Genomic DNA, 21,625 nt, shown 5'->3' with positions numbered 1-21,625 from the left:
CTACAATTTGCATATCAATCCACAACACATAGATAGAATTAAATGTTTCAGATAAACTTGTAATTTCTAAGGAAACAATGTTTAAAAGTTCATGTAACAGAAGCAAGTAGTTGCCTCAGACCTGAGAATCTATTTCCTGCTTCCTATCTGAAATTATATGAACAAGCTCATGTAGTCTGTGTTGGGCTCAGTTACCTATGCGAATGAAGATAGGCCTCCTAGTCCTCTTTAATCTGGCTCAGGAAAAAAGTTCACAATATTTCACAGTTCACTATAGTAAAGTTTACAGTTCTTTTACTCAGCTTAGTTTTTTTCTTTATATTCACATTTTTGGTCTTTGCTAGTTCTTCATTTTTATTATCTTTCAAATTCTGATCAGGAATTGACTTTATTGGCCTGGATTTTATCTTTCTTATTACTTTTGAAAAACTATTTTGCTCCCTTTCAAGGAGATTCTGGTGCTGACAGGGCATTGATTGCCTCTGTCACACCACCAACCAAAATGCAACCCAAGTATTGTGGATGCTATGGTAGAGAGAAAAGGATTCATTTCCAACAGCGGTTAAGAAAATGTATAAGGCAAAGTGAATACACCAAGAACATTCTCAACAGAGAATTATAGTACCAAAGAATACAAACAGCTAACACTGATAAACACAGAAAGAACATTCTTCAAAGTAAAATGTCTGAACATCACAGGAGGACGCACCTCCCAAAGTTAGTTCCTGGGGCTCAACTTCTTAAGTTACACACCCCCAGAATGCAAGGTAAGTTGTCTCTGGTTATGCTCCATGCTGTCAAAACACATGTGTGTGTGATGCTGAACTGACATACAGAAAATGTATTGCCCCCCAATAGATTTGGTTATGAGTTTTAATAAAGATAAGTTTTGTTGGTTTTGAACGACTATTCAGAGAGCTGTTTTTATCTCTACTTGCCAGAAATAACTGTATGGAAAAAAGTCAAAGAGCAGTTTTGAAGAGGGAACACCCTACCCACTTATGCTTTGAAAATAATGTCTTCATTTAACCAGGTAGTGTAGAACAGAGATGTAGACCTTTTTTTGGTAATCAGGTGTCTCTGTATCTGTCCAAGAACAGTCATTTCTTTGAAAAGAAACCTTTTGGTGCCAGTCTAGTAATAAATTATTTCTTAAATTTGGCTTGGGTCAGAATATACATTAAATGTAAGAGCAATGATATATGAAGACCAATGGGAGGATGCTCAAAAAGTAAAAATGATCTATGCAGAAAAAAATAAAAATTTTAGTTTTTGATTATTACTGCTTGAGAGGCAACCCTTTTAAGCTAGTTAACATAAAATTAAAGATGACAGATGACAATTATAAAATATATTTTAGAAAACAAGAGCATTTTCTTTAAATTTAAATAGTTATTGAAATAGGTACATAAAGATAACCATTTCCTCCATTGTTGCATAGGCTTAAAAATGTTTGCAAATTAAGGCATAGAGGTGTAATGTCAGAGGTAGCCATTTTCTTCCCAAGAATTCCCTAACATTACGCCAAGATCTGGAAGTGAATCTGTCTGGTTCTGGCTATGCACTGGAGCACAGCACTGAGGTCTTATTCCTGGTCACTGAGCCACGAACAGTAAAGGGTTCATGGTTCAGAAAGAAACTTGCACCAGTTATTTAGAACAAGTATAACTATCTCCCAGAGTGTACTTCAATTTTTTTTATTTATTTTATTTTTTTTATTTGAGACAGAGCCTCGCTCTGTCGCCCAGGCTGGAGTGCAGTGGCGCGATCTCGGCTAACTGCGAGCTCCACCTCCCGGGTTCACGGCATTTTCCTGCCTCAGCCTCCGCAGTAGCTGGGACTACAGGCACCCGCCACCACCCCCGGCTAATTCTTTTGTATTTTTTAGTAGAGACGGGGTTTCACCGTGTCAGCCAGGATGGTCTGGATCTCCTGACCTCGTGATCTGCCCGCCTCGGCCTCCCAAAGTGCTGGGATTACAGGCGTGAGCCACCGCGCCCGGCCCAGAATGTACTTTATTACAAATTGTTAACCAAGGGAAAAAACACATTAGGAAGGAGATAGCACTTCCTGAGTGGTATAATACAAGGCACATAATGTCCTCCAATGCTGTCACATAGCTTCAATCTTAGGAAAGTAATACATACAGGCAATTCATCCCAACTTTTCACAGGCTGTTAAAAATCTCCACTAATTAATATTGTTTTACGTGTGAAAGAGAGTTATGTGGGAAGGTAGAGGAAGAAAGTCTGAGTTGTTTTTTTTTAGAAACATTGAGGAAAGAGGAACTTTCAAGTTCACTCAACAAACTGAGTGCTTTAAAACGCTTTCAAGTGGAACTCCTGCTTGAAATTAACAGCTAACACTAGCTTATAATCAGATATGCCAATTTGTACATGTGCTGTAAACATAGTTATGAACTATTTCATTCATTGACTGTAATCCTTATAATCCTTTACTCTCAACCTGGTTAATAAATCCTTTATACATGGACAATGCAGAGGTAAACAATAACTAAGGTCAAATTACCACAATTCCATAATGGTGGAATCTAAATTAATAAGACTGTCTAACATAAAGGGCAGAGGATAGGAGGTTAATGTTTACTGAACCTCTTTGATGTGCTAGATAATAATCTACAGTATTTCACTGAATTCTTAAGGCATCTCTTTGAATAGAAATTAATATTCTCACTTGAAAGGGGTGAGTAGCCTGCAGCTTCTAGGAGATTAATATACCTACTATGACCACTTAGGTAACTGGCAGAGCTAAGATTAGGCTCACATCAGAGTGCCCAAAACCCATGCCTCTTTATGCTACACCCTGCTTTTTTTCTAGTTCTCTGCAGACTGTGTTTATACAGTATTCGATGTCTAAAAACCATACCTTTTAGGAAATCATCTCAGAAACTACAGAACATGACTAATGCATATCAATAATCTGCTACATTTACTATCCCACCAAAGACCAAAAAGGCCTTTCTAAGATCATAAGCTGACCAAGTCAGTTACTATTATGACCAACAGTGTCTGCTAAAATATTAATGTATTGACAATGGGGAGGTCTCAGCCCTTGGCAATTATCAGTGCTCTGATCACACAGCATTGACTTCCTTAGACCAGAGACCATTCACGCAACCTAAAAATAGGAGAGGCACCCAGCTTGTTTTGAAATAGTAATCTTCTATCCTGTCAATTAATTATCTTTATTTTCTATTTTGCCTGCTTCCATAAAGAATTTGGAGTGGCTTGCTGAGAACAAAGCCTGTAACTGAAAATAATAAATGATATGTTGTAGGGTGGAGTCAGGGGTAATAAATCTATTCTAAAACTTGTGTTAACGTAGATTTTTATCTGGTGGGATCTGACAGAATCTTGGATTCTTTGGTGGACATAGAAATAGTATGAAAGCTGAGAAGCTAAGAAAGTTTAAAGTGATAATGTAGGAAAATTGTTTGGCAATTTTTTTCTTCCTAGACGCTACAAAGATAAACACTATGGAAAATGATCCCACATTGCACATTAGCAAGGCGGAATGAGAAAAGTTTTACTATAATAAACAGATTTGGACCTAGTCTCTGCCTTTCTGCTTTAGACTTTCTAAAAATGTCAGGCATTGCCATAGTGTACAGAAGGTAAACTAAGGCAATGCTTACCTTTCTAGAAGCAGAAGTCCAGTTATTAGTGTGTAAGGCTTTATCCAACATTCTTGGGCATTAAGGAGTTCTACATAAATAAAATTACATCAAAATTGGTTCACCTGAATGAGTAACAAATTTTAAAAAGTGTTCTACTAGATATCTCTCTGAAATACATCACGTTTTGTCTTATACAGATATTGAACATAGTTTTACTTTTTCTTCCTGAACTAGGGCCATTAATATATCAGACACTTGGCTTGAAGTCAGACAGACCTCTGTTTGAATTTTTACCTTTTCTGGTGTTGTAAAATGAGAACTTTGACTCACGGAGCATCACTAAATAAGGTATTAGGAAGTCTTGTTTTGTGTTGTATAGAGGAAAAAAGAATGTTTATGAAGTAGTACTTAGTTTACTTATGTGCAAAAGTGTGGTAGGTCCTGAAAGGAACAGGTTTTTAAAAATGCTGAGTCCTTAGCACTTCTAAGGCTGTTATACCTTGCTTTTTAAATGATAGATAAATGTTTCATGTATTATCATTAATATTTTATTACATGTTTTCAGTTTTTCACCTCTAAATGTGTGCTTTAAATTAAATTCTCTGAATTACTAAAAATACTTTTAGTATATAGTATATCTTGATATAAAGGTTTTTACTTGAGAATCCAAAATGACAAGGTCAGCCAGTGAGAGGAGGAATATATGAATTTACAGCAACAGTTTTATGTTTCCTATTATAATTCATCTATTGCCAAAATTAAGGAAGAAGAATCTGGATTTTAAAAATATTACTTTATAGTGGAATGAATACTACATACTACTTTGCTTATTTAAGTGAAGAAAAATATTTTTCTCTTCGTTTTTTTTTTTTAAAGTACATCTCCCCTAACATCAGTGAATACCTCAGTCTCAGGAGTTTTCGAGCACAGATTAATCAGAAGATCTAGACCATTGTTTAATGTGAAATGTGTTAAAAGTACATGCCTTTATTCTCCTAAGGGCATAAAAAGATATTTAGACAAGGCATTTAGGACAGGGAGAATGCTTCCAGGGAAGGGAGGCCATAATCTTTTTTTTTAGTTAAGCTTTTGGTAAAATGGCACATAAAAAAGACTTAGTTCGTTTGCACAGACATTGTAAAACAGTTCAATGTCTACATCTTGTATTTGTAGCAGTTCCATTTATATCATAAAAGCCCACTTTTTCTGTTTCTAATTATTTCTTGAATAAACTGTCAAAAATATTTAGGTTTTTCAACCTAAAGAATGTTTGTCTGAACTCAGAGAGTATAGAGAATAAAATATTTTGTGAATAGGGGTATGGAATTCATTTTCTTATCAAATGTACAAACATTATGGCCAGAGTGTATCCTGACAAGTATATATTAGGCATTATGAGCAAGGTTTTAGGACCTCCTAGTCATTTGGAGAAAGACAATCCCTTTATTGTGCTGGCAAAAATGCTTTTGGTTTCCTGTCATTAAACCTAAGTGCCAGTGAAAGTTTGAGCACAGTTGAAATTGCTTTATACAATACACTCTTTACGAGAATAACATATACCTGTAAGAGTAATTTTTATTACCTAAGAAGATGAAAAATTATACGTTTTTAATCATATGGGGGAATGTGCATAATTATCTCCTCCTGGTCAGATATAAATTTTTCTATCTACTTTAAACACTCTGCATATTTCTTGCCTAGTGAGCCAATTCCACCATTATTGTAAAGGCCGAAAAAAAAAAAAAAAAAGGCCCAGAAGACCCCTACTAATTTCTTTTAAATTGAACGGTAGTTTCATGGAGAAGCTTTCATTTAATTTATGTGATCTAATTGTGTTAAGTAGAACCAGACTATGAGGTTAAACATTTCCATATGTTTTAAAGGCCCAGAACTTTTCCTGAAAGGAGACATCATTCTGAACTCAGACTTTACCTGCTGCTTCCAGAAATGGCTGCAACTCCACCCAGACTGTACCCCCTTCCCAGCTGTGTGTGCCACATGTAAGCACATGGAGGAGATGCCGTCCCCTGGCGCAACCATTGCCTGGGGGGTCCTTACCCCTGCCACACTCCTGGACCTCCAAAGGCTACCAGATTTTTTTCCCCAGTCATTGACACTTGCCTTCCTCCTCTGTGTATGAAATGAAGAACTAGGTAACTGTAGAGAGGGAAGGCAGAGTTGACTAAATTCTGGAAATCTGGTTCCTGGCTTACAGCCACCCTGAGCCCTAGTGTGATCTATAAATGCTTTACAACTCACCCCTTGTTGATACGACATTTTGTTGACTATAACCATCCCCTCTTCATTTTATGCTCCAGAAGCTTGTGAGACCTCAATGAGTCATGAAGAATCCTAATTTCAAATCCAAAGAATCCAAAGTGATGATAACAAAAAGCAATAATTGATATCTGAACAAAGGTTAGTATTTGACAATGGATAAAGATTGGTATACCTTCCCTTCCTCGGGGCTTTGTTGACATGAATTGTGAACGTCGTCTTCTCTTACTAATTTTCCAGGCCAGGAAGTCAGTCCTTTGATTTGGCCCCAGACCAAGTCGCCAACATTGAACGTCCTTGGTCTATAATGTATCAATTCATTTGAAGAGGGGGAGTCTGGGTTCCTTAGGTCATCTTCACTACTAATGCTTTTAGCATCTGAAGGGCTAGGCACACACCCATTAACGCTTTTGGCATTAAAGTCTCCATTGTAATGGATGTAGTCTTTGACCAGAGAATTTTCCAAACTATTTGAGGAACTTGGAGACTGCTCCTCTAGGACCAGGTCTTGCTTTGCAGTGCTTAGCAGCTCTCCAAATCCCCGACTCTGTCGAGGTCTATTCCCATTTATGTGTGCACATCTTTCCACAGTGTTCTCTAGTCTCTCCTTAAAACTCATCATAGTTCTTTTGTAGTTATTATACCTGAAATTTTCCTCTAGAATTTTATCCCCTGGACAGTTTCTTGGTGGTAACAGTATTGGGTGCTGTTCCCCAGGCAGAAATGGCAGTGTAGAGACATTGTTGGGCCTTTCATGACAAGGACTACTGTGGATATGGCCTGGATGATCTAAAAATTCCTCGTACTTCCACCTGTTTCGCTCCCCTCTGGGGCTTTGCTCCCCGTCCCACTGTTTTTTGGATGTGTGGCAACTTGCTGACTTGAAATATTCAAACCCATCTCCTTCGTTCACATTTTTCCCATGGTCTAGATTCTTGGGCAGCCGAGCCCCTCTTGAATTCCTCAGCCTACCATCATGATCAACACCTCCCATGTTCCGTCCATGAATGACCGCACTGACAGCACTGGAGAGATTTAATGGGTCACCAATTGAGGCAGTGAAGGCACTCATGGCACTCAGAGCTGGAATGGGGCTGATCTGAGTTGTACTGTTGACTGCAGTGGTGATGACAACCTGCATTCCTTTGCTGGCTGCATCGACAACTGCTTTGTAAATGGCATCTACGGAAGCATCACCTGGGCCACCCACAACGAGGCCATCCTTCACCTGTTGACCAAGAGATGGGTCAATCCTCGGTTGCAACTCACAAGGTGTATCTTGAAAAGGTGGAAGTGTAGTGTTTGGATTCTCAGGAAGTGCTGTGAGCCCAGGCTGAGTGCTTATTCTTTTGTTTAGGAGAGCTGCATCTTCCTGCATTCTCACCTTGAAGAAATAGACAGGAAGCAGTGAGAGAAAGGGAAATAATTTTGAGGCCTCAAAGAGAAAGACTATAATTTTAAAATTTACCAAAAGACAAACAAATATTAACAAGGAAGGAAATATAAAGAACAAGACTCAAAAAATGAAATAAAAAGTCACTTTGTATAGGAAAGCTTATGTCTTGATTATATTTGCATGCTGTTTCTTTGATTAAAATCATTCAACAGATTTTTAAAAATCATCACTGCGAAACATTCTCTAGAAAAATTAAACTTGAAGTGGCTGGACAGAAAACGTACTCAGGTTGGGATGACTCCATTTATTTAGTGTCATTACAGGTCTTTGCAATTTAGGATTCAAAAAGAGTCAAGTCACAGGTAATCAAATTAGCAAAGGAGAAAGATTTTGAAAATGATTTCTAACTCACTGATGTTTCCACTTAACTAAGTGAAATACAATATAAAATTTTAAAAAAACATATAAACTCCTTTCTTAATAATAACATGACACTAGTTTTCAGATGGGGTAGTAATACCTGCTCCTCAACCTTTTCAGGCCACATCCCCATGCTGTCAATAGTGACAATGGCTGTTTGCAGAAGTGATTCTCAATTGGAAAGTGGTGGAAGGAGAGCATACTTACCAGGGGAGCATATCAGAATTCCAGTATAGGAAGGATGAGGGCAGTTTGAAAAAGTGCCCAAGGTAATTCTAATTTTACCCCCCACCCCCCACCCCCGCACCATCTAAGAATTACTGCTCTAGACCCTTGATACTTTGAACTTTCAGATTTTTTTCCACAATGATCTCTCTCTTTCTTTACATCCTTCCCTGCTAATCCAGAACCTGGGATCTGTCGACACATCAGCCTCTCTCTTGCTATTATCACCCTGTCTACATTTACCAGGCAAAATCCCAATCTTGGATCAATTCAACTGCCTGCCTTATCTACATCTACAGTGAGGATGCTGATATTTGTCTATAGGAATTTGTAGCTTCCAACCTCAGTTGAGGGCTTATTGCTGCCCATCAATCCTAGATCTTCTAGTTAGTTATCAATCATTTCCACAACTATTCAAATATTCACCAACTTCTTCACCATCTCCGAGACTATTCTTAGTAGATGATCTTACGTAATGAGAAAATAAAGCCCATCAGGCAAGAATTCTCACAATTTCTTATACTCTGATACTCCCTGCCCCCTGGCAGCAGACTTCTCTGCAACTATACCCGTCCTAAATTCTGTCCTGCTTCCCACATGAGGGGTCCCTTCTGCTCTCTGAGGGTGTGCCCTCCACTTATGTTCTGAATCCCAAGCCCCTTCCTCAAGGATCCTGTCTTATTTATTATACCTTCCCTTCTTTATGTTCAATCTCTTCCACTTTTCTGGGTCTTTCCTATAGCACATGACTATGTTCATGGCTTACATATTTTAAAGTTTGCATTCATCCTACCCCCGACCCCCTGCTGGGGCACTGCCCTATTTCTCTTACATTCTTCAAAGTTAAGTTTTTTTCAGAAATAAATTTTGTTGTGTGTATTTGAAGTTAACACCATGATGTTATGGAATACGTATACAGATGGTAAAGTTGTTACTAGAGTGAAACAAATTAGCCTATCATCTCATATAGTAGTGTGTGTGTGTGTGTCAAGAACAGCTAAAATCTACTTCTTTAATCTATACTCTTTAATTCCTAACCTCCTATTCACTGTTCCTCCATTTTGCCATCTGGCTCCTGCTCTCACCACTCCAGCAAAACTGCATTCCACTAAGTCACTGATGATGTCCTAATTGCTAAATCTAATGGATTCTCTTCAGGCTTTATCTTACCTTTTTTCTCAGTGACACGGTTGAGCACTTCCTCTTCCTTTCTAAATTATTTTACTATGGAAGATATATATATTATCATAAAGATACAAGTTTTCTTCATCATTACTTCTCGCTGAAACTCAGTTTCTTACCCTAAACTCCAGTCCTATTTCCTTTCTTAGAACTAACCAGCACTGGAGTGCATCATTCTTACCTCCCTTCCTTGCTCCCCTCCTTCTTTCTTTCAACCTAAATGGGATGGTCCTAGATTCTGGATCCCACACCCCCTCCTCAGGAATCCTGCCTTATTTATTATCCCTTGAACATAAAGATGTTCCCCTTTTCTGGGTCTTTCCTTTAGCGTATGATTATATTTACAGCTTCCAGATTTAAAAGTACTGTTCTGCAATACTATAGCACTGGAGTCTTGCAGTCTTACAGATCTTTCCATATCAGATTATGTAAGTCTACCTAATTTTCTAAACCACCAGGTAGATGGATATACTGTACCATAATATACTTAACTATTTCCCTACTGATGGAGTGGTTCATAATTTTTGACACCTCAAATTATATTGCACTGAACATTTTGATATGTGCTTGTTTGTTCACATTTGAAGATTTCTCTAAAATGAGATATTAATACACAGAAGCTGAGCTTCTGGTCAAAAGATATTTAAAAAATCTGATATGCTATCAAATTACCCTCCAAAAGGACTGTATCAGCATATAATCAGACCAACAGTAATCTGAGTGAATCTATTTCCCTGCACCCTTGTCAGCAGTGGGTATCATCAATCTGATGGACACATTAGTGTGATAATTTATGTAACTCTGATTGTTATTTTCATGTTTTTTAATACTTTATCTTTCAATTTCTGTGAATTGTCTGTTCATATCTATTGCTAATTTTTTTCTAATCAATTGTCCTTTTTCTTCCTGATTTGTAGGAGCTCTTTTTATGTTGTAGGTGTTAATTATTTAATATGTATTAGGAAAATATTTTCTGCCAGGTTGTCATTTGTCTTTAGCTTTGTTTAGAATATGCTTGATCATACAGAGATTTTAAATTTTTATCTATTCAAATTTGTTACTTTTCCTTTTGACTGCCTTGGTTTTCTGTCATGCTGAAAGAGCCTTCTCTACCCCAAGATTATTTTTAAAAAGCCCATATTTTCTCCCTATGTGGATTTAGTGTTACCCTTTCCACCTACCTCCTTAACCTAGCAGGAATTTATTCACTTTGTGGAACTAAAGAAATACCATGTGGCTGAAGCCAGGGGAAGAGTGGTGAGAGCTGAGGCTGGAGAGGGTGGACAGGTGGGCATGCAAGGGAGGTGAGTCTCAGTCATGAGAACAATGATAAATGACAAAAGGGCTTATGAGGGTCACACGATCAGTTTTTACTAACAGCTCCAAAAGAACTGCTGAGATACTTCAGACAAAATTAAAAAAAGAAAACCTTCACACAAAAGACTGGAATGTTTAACAATACTCATGACTGAGAAATAACAGTAAATAGAGGTGAAAGGGCACGTAACCTACTTTTTTCACCCTTTCCCCCAAATTAAGTATTTAAACAAACTCAGACATTGTTTTCTTCTAAAATGACACAGCAGAGGAGAGTACCTGAAAGTTCTGAAACAGACAAGCCATGGGGTTATTGTTAGCTGGGCAAGGAATTGTGGACTGTCCTTGGAACGCCTGGAGATTCTGGTACCCCTGGAGAAGTTGCTGCTGTTGCTGATTTGGAGGAAACATCTGATTGTTGTTTAACAGCGACTGTAGATGAGTCAGTTGATGGTTACTCAAAGTATTGTTTATTGATGACATATCACCTACAGTTTGAAAAACATAAAATATAAATAAATGTGATTCTTCGGAGATTCGATGCCTCTCTTTGTACCCGAGAATTCCTGAAACAGAAACTAAGTGCTATGCTTACTTGGGTAATGCTTTTCTTTTTTACTTCTCAAAGTCTTACTAAGTGGTAAGGAAAGAGTAGCTTTATTATTTAGTTTTATCTTGTATAATTAGTTTTTTAATTTTACATCATGGAAAGACTACTTAGTCTTTGCTCTATTCATTAGGCAGTCCTTATATATTGAGCTGCAGTGTCATATGATTCCTTCATCTATTTTTAGATTTTAGATCTATTTTAGAGCACCTAAAATTAAAGGTTGAAATTAGTCCTATAATGTTTTAGCAATTGTAAGTATCTGACCAGATAATTAAAATAAGTGAGCCTGATCAGGCCTTGTTTACAAAATTTAGTTCTCAAGCCATAATCATCAATAGATACCAAATCAAATCATCGATTTGGTTTAGAAACGTGCATTTTGTTTTGCAGTAGAAGGTTGGTCACCTAAAATTAACATGGAAAAGAAAGCTAACAACACAAAAGAATTCATTGTCATAATCATTCAAAATAAATATTATATAATCAGTAGGATTAATAATTAAATTTATATTCAAAATTCAAAATTATTTTGAAATTACTCTGACATTTTCTTGAGGAGAATGTCATAGAAATTGTCTTGTAACTTGAAACATGTAAATCTGTAATGCTTCGTAGTTTATTTAACTACAAAGATTTCAATGCCAAATAGAACTAATTATACTATATTATAAAGGCATTCATAAAATCAAAAACACATAAATAATAAACAAATTTTTTACACCTTGAAGATGCCATTGACATCATGATGTACATTTCCCTGTTTCTAGACTTTATGGACACCATCCCCACACTTTATATTATAGTTACCTATATCCATCAGTTAAATATACCTGGCATTATTTTCGAACTATTTTGTGATAGGATAATACAGATGAAAAACTGTATTTTTAAGCCACAAAAGTCAAAAAATTAATACTGACTGAGGAAATCTAGTAGCAGCTAGAGGGGCTGTCTGTTCCCTTGAACTTGGGAAAACTTTAGCTTTGCGTGTTTTTACATCTTGTTTCTTGTTTTGCTAGACAAGCATTTAGTTTTGTTTATTTAGGGTTCACCTGGAAAACACTTTCTCAATCTGTTTCCATCCACAGTGCAGCTGCTCATACTAACCCTGTGATGCCACACCAACTAAAATTCAAATAAAAGTGATTTTTAAGATGTACCTGTGCTTTATTATTTGAAAAATGAGACTCTACTTGGTTTAAGAGGTGATGGGTAGGTTAGGTTTAGGTGGCATCAGAATTAGAAGAGAAAGCAGATTAAAATGATATTTAGTATTGCTAGAATAGGGGAAAGAGGAAAAAGTCACTCATGTTTGTATAACTATGGTTGTGTGTGGGTGTTGTTATATTTAGTTCCTTAAGCAAGCTGTGACATAACAAAAACATTTTTAAAAATAGTGTGACAAAATGGAGTTTTTAAAAAGGAGAAAATAGAATTAGAAAAACGTTTCTTTTGTAAAAAATTTGTGAAAAAATTTAACTTACCAAGTAGACCTGTCCCCAGTAGAGGGTTAAGTAGCTGTGGCACCACAGAGTTACTGTTGAGTTTAGCTGGACCAGGTGTATTCCCAGCATTATTAGATATATTCAGCAATGTTTCTGCCATTGACACCACTGCTGTCCCACCAAGTGTTGAGACAGTCAGTGCTGCCACTGCTGATGATGTAGTGGTTGTGGTAGTGGTTGCCTGGGAGGAGGTTGCTATGGAAACCTCTGGATGATTAGCGGTGTTGGCCGATGCCGAGTTCAGGACACCTCCCAACAGCTGGGGATTCAAGGTCATTAATCCTGAGGCCCCATTGACAGCTGGGAGGAACAGGGGGTTAAAAGTAGTGTCACTGCCTGCAAAGCTTGGTAAAGGGTTCCCCAGGGGGCTGGTTAAAAGGGTCTCAGCTCGGCTGTTGTCTGACTGATTGCTTGGCAAATGGTCTGGTGGGGCTGTCATCTGTGTTAATGAGGGTAAAGGGGTATTTTGCTGTTGCAAAAGATCTGAGATGGTCAGATTGAAAGATGGCAGGGGAAGCATGGCAGCTGCTTGGGCTTGGTTCTGAAGCAAGGCTGCTAAGAGCTGAAAGTGAACAGGCTGCAATACCTGCCCATCCATGTCACTGGAGAGAAAAGCTAAAGCAGCGTTTACATTCGGGTTGAGAAAACCTAAAGGGTGGAGGTTGATCTCAGACTTGCCTTCTCCTGCTGAAGGCTGGAGGATATTTAATAGATTCTGGTTTAGGAGATGCTGTTGATTCACTGGCAAAGAGATAGGTAGAGAACTGAGGAGGCTGGGGTTCAAGGGGTGTGGAAGATGGTTGTTTGAAGTGCTGTTGGATGGAAAATGAAGTGCGTGCTCCTGGCCAACAAAAGGAAAATCACTCCCAATGGGTAGCTGACTCTGCAGTGGGTTTCCAGCTGCAGTGGTGACTATGACGCCATCTTGAAGAACAGATGTTGTCTTTGTGATGGCAGGGTGGTTGGTGCCCGCTATGGCTATGGAGGATGATGGTCCTGAACCGCCTAAAATGAAAAAAAAAAAAACACAAAACCCAGTTATTAATCATGAATGTTATGTGAGACTAGGCATAAAAATGCATTAACATAAATTTAAATTTATTTGTTCCATGGCACCTTCATTGATTGTAACTAGATTAATTGTAATCAGATCACTTGACATCTGTTAATGGGACTTAAGTTTAGAATGTATGCTTTTGAAAATAAATATATTGAAGACGTTTTATTGAGAAATAGCTGGTGAGTTGTGGTGGCAGGAGAGGTGGGGGTTTTAAAAAAAGAAATAGCTGTTGCTGACTATCAAATAGCTTGTTTTTCACAGGCAGACAAGTGAAAGGGGAAGATGGGAGAATCCACGTTCTTCATTCAATTGGGTAGATAAAAGCAGTAGTTTTATTTTAAAAATTTTTTTCATTAAAAAAGTTATTTGTCTTTATTTATAAAACTACTACTTCCTTTTAGTGAAAAGAAACCCACAAAAGTAGAATGCACATAAAAATATAAGGCAGAAAATAAAAAGTACCTGTGAAGATTAACTATTAACATTTTAGTTTATAGCTTTCTGGGCTTTTTCTACCTGCATGTCTATACATATGCAGGCATGCATATATATATACACATATGCATATATATGTTACATATATTTTTTAAAAATAGAATCATGCTATAATGTTATTTTGTAGCTTTTTTATTTATCAATATATTGTGATTATCATTCCATGTTAGCTTATATATAGCTACAGAACCATTTTATTAGTATCATGTATGATATACTGTACTTTAATCAATCCACAGTCATGAGTTTTTTTATTATTTCCAATCTTTTACTATTGTAAGCAACGCTATGACAATTATTCTTATTAACACTTCTTTGCCAGTTCACCTAATTATTTTCTAAGGATAAATTCTTAAAAGTGAAATTCCAGGGACAAAAGGGTTTACATATTTTAGAAGCTTTGAATACATATTGTCAAACTACCCTCCTGTGAAGTTTTTACATTCCTATAAGCAGTGGAAGACAGTGCTCATTTCTCTCACCAATACTCTATTTATCATTATTTTTGACAATGAATAAAAACAATAGTTAAGAATCTTTACCATTCTGATTGCGTAAAGATACTTTGTACTTATGATTTTTTAAATTAGACCAGTCTTACATAGCATTCTTATTCTTAAAAGCCTTACACTAGGGATGAAAATTCTGGGAATTTAATATCTGAAAAGATAAAATTTCACTTATTTATAACTGTTTTTGTGATGTTCAACCCAAGCTGCACAACAGAATTATCTGGAGAAATTAAAAAAACAAAAACAAACCAATACCTGGGCCCTAACCCAGACCCGCTGAAAACTCATCTCTCGGGGTACAGCCTGCGCAGTAGTATTCTTTGAAATCACCCCTGGTGATCCAGATGCACAAGGGGTGAGGTAGATAGGGTGAAAACCACATCTATTGAAAAGGAACCTATAATCACTTTTTTGTAAATAGTCTTTCCCTGTTGTAAATCCATTGTTTTATGTAATACATGCATTTGACAAATATTTTATTATTTTAAGAATACACATTTTTAGTTTTATTTAAAAATACTAAACACATATATGGCATAATGAACAACACCAGTGTCACTGAAAATCTAAAATAACTCAAACATTTTGGGCTATGCTATGCCATGCTATCCTAAAAAACTTTACATTTTATCATGTCACCATTGAGGCTTCATCCAAATACACAGAAATGTTTCCATAGTTGTAACAGTAATATGAATATAATTTTATATTCTTCTTGTTTTCACCTAATAGAATAACACAAGGATTTTTCCTTTCTGATAAATAGACTTCGTATTTATATTTTAACTGTGTAGTGTATGTATTTACTATATTTATTGAACCACTCTGATAAAGCCTGGTATTCATATTTTGATTTCTCATCATTATAGATAATACAGGGATAAATATCTTTCTACATGTGATATTTGCTACCTTTGAACTTTTTCCTTAGAAAAAATTTCGTAATTGGCATGATTATTTTGAGAATCAAAAAAAGGGAAGCAAAAGTTCTGAAATATGGAAAAGTCTATAAAAATAAAAGGAGTTATCATCATTATTGACATTAGTAGTCATAGTAGTGGTGCTGTGCTAATAGTAGTAAGTACAAATCTGCACATCCAACACACTTTACAGAACATCCCTATAGCAAGGATTTGTCATTTTTCCTGGCTGTCTTGGTCTGCCTTTATTTTTTTTTAAGTTTTCAGTGTTTTAAAGAATGAGATCTTAAAAACTCCTCTTTGAAAATATATAAATATTTATGAAATAATGACCACATTCACCAAGAGTAGGGTAAGAAAACATACCAAATACTGAAGTAGGCATATAGTATACAATTCTTTAAATACTAATTCAGATTTGTTACAAAATAATCAAAACCTTAAACATTTAACTGCTTCTTAAATCTTGCTGCTATTTCCATAGATAGTATGGATTATTTCCATTTGGACACCATCTTTTTAATTTTTTTAAAACTTTTATTAAACCTTTACAAATATTTTTAAGAGTTTAAATAAAAAGTCTTATTTACTGGTAATCACTACTTGTGGCACTATCTGTGGCAAGTTTTTCTCTCTGCTAAATAATAATGACATATTTAGATGTAGAGATCACAATTTCTCTAACCAAAGGGAGAACACATTTTCAAAATGCTCTAGAGTGTACATGGCAAGGCTTTGTAGATGAAGGCTTTCCTTAGAGATTATTATAATTTTAATCTTTATTTTGCAACAGACAAGTATCCACATTTATGATTCAAGGAAGTAGCCATTTTGGGATAACATAAAAGCTCTAAATATCTAAATATTATTGAAGAATTAGAAGAAGCGAAGTATAGATACTCTGGGTGTATTTTTGCTTTACCATCAAGAAAGTGGTGAATAACACAAGCTTCTTAAATGTAGTACAAAGATGAAGGTATAGTTTTTTAAATTTTTCTTTAATTTTCAACAAATCTATACAACAAACAGGTGTACTCTGCTGGACAATAGAATAGAACCATGAAAATAAAAATTTTAAAAAAACCCTTGTTCTTTCCTAAAGGAACTAAGAGTTTAGGTAAAGAAAGAAACACAGAAATCTCTCTGTCTTTTTCTTCTCTCAAATATATATTTATTCAGAGTTTATTATGAACTAGAAAAATGTAAAGCTCATTTCTTATATTGCTAGTATAACTATAAGGCAATATGCTAAGAGGTATAACAGGTGTATAATAAGGAGACCACTATAAAACTGAACATGTCAGGGAAAACTAGTCAAGTGGTATAATATTTGGTCTGGAATTTGAGAGATGAAAAGGAAATATAAAGGGCCTCTATGCAGAAGCAAGATGATAAAAAAAAAAAAAACAACAAAGACATAATAAAGTAGATGGAAGGTAATGAAGAGTCCTGTGCTTCCCCAAAACAAAGAAATATGACTGAAAATATTGTGAGGTTTCCCTATGCTTCCGGCTCCTCCTACCCATGGTTGAACCTGCTGCCTTAGATAAGCAGTGAAGACATTTGAAATCATCTTTCTAAACCATTAAAGACAAAAATCATTTCTTATTTATCACTGTATTTCCAAGACCTAATACAGTCTCTGACACATGATCGGTATTCAAAAAATATTTGTTAGTATTAAAAAGATTGTAAAATCATAAAACTTGCACTCAACGTTTAGAAGTAGGTAGTTTGATGCTATGTGTTGGTGTGTTTGTGGACAAAGGGAAAGAATACCACCCGTTTGTGGAGAAAGTGAAAATGAACTCTCCAGTGTATTAGTCCAATGCCAGGAGATAAGGGACATTGGAAAGGAGATGGGTGCAGGATGACAAATTACCTAAGAAGGCTTCCAGATATTTCGAGAAGTTGAAATCACCCCACAGAGGGAGAGGTCTATCCCAAATTACTCTGAGTTCTTAAAGTTACTCATTCATGCTTACAGTCATTCAAAGAGGACCCTGAATTTGTATGAAATTTTATAGATGGAGGAAAATTTGGAAATTGCTTATTTCTGAACCACTTAATCTTGAATAGGCACTCTCTGGTGAACGTATTTCATAGTTCTGCACAAAAACCCTATGGTCTGTTAAACCGTGGGGAAAAATGTTTTGTTAAAGCTGTTTTTTTGTTTTGTTTTGTTTTTGCAGCCAAGATATTTTGTGCTTAATTGAATAAAAAGGACAGTCGCTGAGATTTTTAAGAAGCAAATTATTCATTACGTGTTTACCAGTTAAATAACCAAAAGGCAGCTGGGATCCTGGAACAAGTTAGTAAGCTGGAGAAGTCCTTTACTGGGAAAAAATGATTATTTCACACTGGCCAGCAGCACCATGAACTGGCATACTTTCTTTTTCTCATTGTCTCTGTTGCTTTTCAAGAGTAGGAGAGAAGACTGGAAGGCCACCTAAACAAACTTTGGTGCGAGATCTCATGCTTTGACACCCAGAGATTAAGACAGTCTAGTCCAATGAGGAAATGACAGTGGTAGCTTGCCCAGTAGGACAGGTTTCTTTTCTTTTCTTTTTGAGATGGAGTCTCACTCTGTTGCCCAGGCTGGAGTGCAGTGATGTGATCTTGGCTCACTGCAACCTCCGCCTCCTGGGTTCAAGTGATTCTCCTGCCTCAGCCTCCTGAGGCACGCCCGGCTAACTTTTGTATTTTTAGTACAGACAGGGTTTCACCGTATTGTCCAGGCTGGTCTCGAACTCCTGACCTTGTGATCCACCTGCCTCAGCCTCCCAAAGTGCTGGGATTTCAGGCGTGAGCCACTGTGCCTGCTCCAGACAAATTTCTGTATGTAAACAGTATTCTGCACACATTTATAATTCATGATATATGTATATGCATATGTGTGTACATGACAGCACGAGTAAATTTTAAAGGATATTTTCCTAATATTAATTTAATCCTTGACATGTTTTATCTGTCTCATTTTTAAAACTACTTTTCAAAACAAAGTTAATGTCTACCTCTTTTGATTCGTTTCTCTTCTTCCTGGTCATTGTTTGTATTGTGCTAAACTCTTATATGGCTGTCTCTTAAATATTAATAATATTGTTATACACGTCTTTGGATGTGTACAAGATAGGATATAAAGCTCATATCAAAGAGACCAATGAAGTATTTTTAAAACCTCCTTATACCATTTTGTTTAGCTCTAATTTTGAACAAATACTACTTTATGCTAAGAAACCTTTTCTAAATTAATATGTCCAAACACTGATTTTTATCTATAAAATTCAAGAACCTAAGAAATAAGTCATATAGAATGTGTATGCCTTCACCATCTGACCTTTATCATTTGCTTTGGTAAGTGTACTTGCATTGCAAACAGGGACAATGGTAATCCTTAATAAAAATGGATGCATGTAGATAAGAGAAAATATCATGGCTTAGTGAGTCTAATAAATATAATTCACTTTTCAATCCCATTGAAATAGTAAATTTTCTCCTCTATATTTAAAGGACCGATTTTTAATGATAACAATAATAAATTGAAAGATAACTTTTATGAGAATACTAGATCTTTCTACGAGACTTTATTTTCTCAAGTTTTAGTAAGAGGGAATGGTAATGTGTATTTACAAAAACATATCAAATCTCTATCTTTGTGCTCTGGATTCTGATATAAATTAACATTCTTTTAGCAGCAATAGAAACGAAATCTTAGGGACTAGAGGCTACTTTGTTCTATTCAAGGGAGGGAGGAAGGGGCCCTAAACCAAAGGACTTAGGAGAAGGTAGAGAAGATGGGAAAGGGAGCTATGGCAGTATCTGAGGAAATGCTCTCCACACTCAACAGGGCCAAGAGGATGGGGAGGAGAAAAGAGCAGTAGAAGGGATGCAGCTTGAATCTTGGAATATGATGTCTGTGTAGTTATGACTATCAAGGGGATCAGTCTTTTCAGTCTCGTGGTGGTGATGGAGTCAGAAAAAGAGTTTGTTTTTTTTTCTTCCCCCCTCCCCATAATGTTTTGTTTCCTTTCTTAACACATATAGTTACTCTGAAAACTGTTGGAATTAACTTTAAAATGCTTGGGATTTTTCAGTTTACTCAAGTAATAGGGTTTTTTTTAAAAAATTCCTCTTTGATCACATTTTTCTTAATATTTGTGAGAAAACAAATGTAGAGAAAAGAGTATAAGTCTCTTGCTGGTATAATTTCTGTTCTCTGAATATGCACTACAGTACCTAACAGTTAAAACACTTCATCAATATTCCAATTGGAAGTCTTATCTCATTTTGTTTAATGAGCAGAGCAGGCTAAGTTTCTAGATTATGAATATGCTTAGCTTTGTATTCTTCTACTATACCGTTTTATCTGCAGTGCTAAAACAGTGCCTAGCACATCCTAGGTGCTCAATAAATATTTGCTGAATTAATTACCTCATGGATATTCTGAAACATTATTGAGATCTATTAGTGGGGTGCAACATCAATTTAGTATGCCCCAACTAGTATATTTTTGATAAATGAAATTGAAAAGGAAATGTAAAGGACAATGCACAGCTAGGGTAGTATTTTGTGGAAGCTCTTTCTGTTAGCTTATATATGTGAGTGCTAGGTCATGATCTGTTTTGTGAGTGATTAAAATCATTTCAGTGAGTCATGGCTGTTATTAAAAAATACCAAATAGAATAAGATAAAATAGAATGGGATAAAAAATCAGAAGTTATTACATGTAATAAGTATTTGTTTCATGAAACTTTTTGTTACACATTATAAATGTATGTCTAATGGACTGTAATGCAAGTTAATTTCCTATTGTGGGAAGAATTTTAAAAAGCTGAAAAATACTGCTTTAGGATCAGGCCTCTCAGTTGCTCAACTCTGTAGGAGATGGTCTATGGAGCTGTGCTCTGGGAGCATATTTATCAGGCTACATTGAGAAAGGGGTCCCTGTGGAGTTATGCAGCACAGGAGCCCTGCTCTAGTATATCTGTGATGAATACTCTCTCTTATACCTGTGCCCATGGGTCTTGGATAGATAATACGGACTTCCCTGGACTAACTCCAACCCCAGGAATACCTCAGCAACTCCTTCAGACTTCTGTTGTCTAGCTCCACTTTTAATCTGTAAAAAGGTGAGTTGTTACTTTGAATTTGCAAGTAGTATAAGGCTTAGAAATAATTTTTACTTTACTCTTGGCTTGGCTGGCATTAATGTTGTTTGATAGAAGTTCCTAGAAGGTAAGAATTTTATTTATGATTTGAATTATTTAGTACTACATGCATGAAAAAATGAAATCCATTTTGATGACATCATAGGAATATTTTTTAGCATTATTTTTATGACTCAAACATTGTAGAATTAACATTACTCCATAGAATCTGGGTACGTTTTGCAACTGTGTAAATGTTTTTTGGACCACTTGATTTTAGTAAATAGTAGCTTAGGCATCTTCTAGAGAACTGAAGGATTTCTAGTGGCTTTATAAGTGAGCTCAATGTGTTGTAATGGAATAAAATTCTCCCAATTTGCACACTGGGACAATTTATTTCTTGAAAGGTACAAAATAGATCACTGAATCAGCAAACATATCACCACTCTGAGTTCTGTTATCACCTTTGATTACATAGACTCAACGTCTACAGCTGAACATATTTTAACTCCTTTTTTTTTTAATACAAGGAAACGTTAAACCTGGAATAAGTAAACAAAATAAGTGGTGAAACCCTGATATTAGGAGACCTTCTTAAACAACAAGACATTGACTATATTAAGAATGTCTTACAGCAAAGAATAAATGGCTCATTTTGCAAAAATTTACTAAAATAATAGACATAGATTTTTAATCACACAATCCAGAATTTAGTATAGTTCTGTTGTTTGGTTAAAAAACAAGTGCAGAGGACAATTTTTAAACTACAAACTTTGTGCATCTGATTGGGGGATAAAATCGAAGCATTTAAAAATTTGAGTGAAAATACTTTCACTAGCAACTCATATTTATTCAGTCACAGCCTTCAAGGAGGCTCTTCCTCTTTCTTCAGTCTACATTAATCTATATAACACTGAATTAT

The 21,625-nt window shown here is 36.0% G+C and overlaps 1 protein-coding gene across 31 annotated transcripts in view; it reads right to left on the bottom strand.

Annotated features, from left to right (window-relative positions):
* Window positions 1–21,625, bottom strand: part of MBD5 (methyl-CpG binding domain protein 5) — a 496,045-nt gene that overhangs the window by 20,288 nt on the left and 454,132 nt on the right. For 22 of the 31 annotated variants that reach the window (XM_047445056.1, XM_011511472.3, XM_047445068.1 and 19 more), the window contains 3 exons: window positions 12,549–13,574; window positions 10,734–10,942; window positions 6,090–7,298 (listed from right to left, as the gene is read on the bottom strand). In XM_047445056.1, the coding sequence (XP_047301012.1) occupies window positions 6,090–7,298; window positions 10,734–10,942; window positions 12,549–13,574 (2,444 nt within the window). The remainder of the gene's footprint in view (window positions 1–6,089; window positions 7,299–10,733; window positions 10,943–12,548; window positions 13,575–21,625) is intronic. The other 9 variants (XM_047445088.1, NM_018328.5, NM_001438862.1 and 6 more) reach the window with 1 other exon arrangement.

This window comes from Homo sapiens, chromosome 2 (assembly GCF_000001405.40).
Source record: "Homo sapiens chromosome 2, GRCh38.p14 Primary Assembly".
Taxonomy (NCBI): domain Eukaryota; kingdom Metazoa; phylum Chordata; class Mammalia; order Primates; family Hominidae; genus Homo; species Homo sapiens.
Note: the sequence above shows the minus strand (reverse complement) of the source record. Positions and strands in the feature narration are given on the sequence as shown.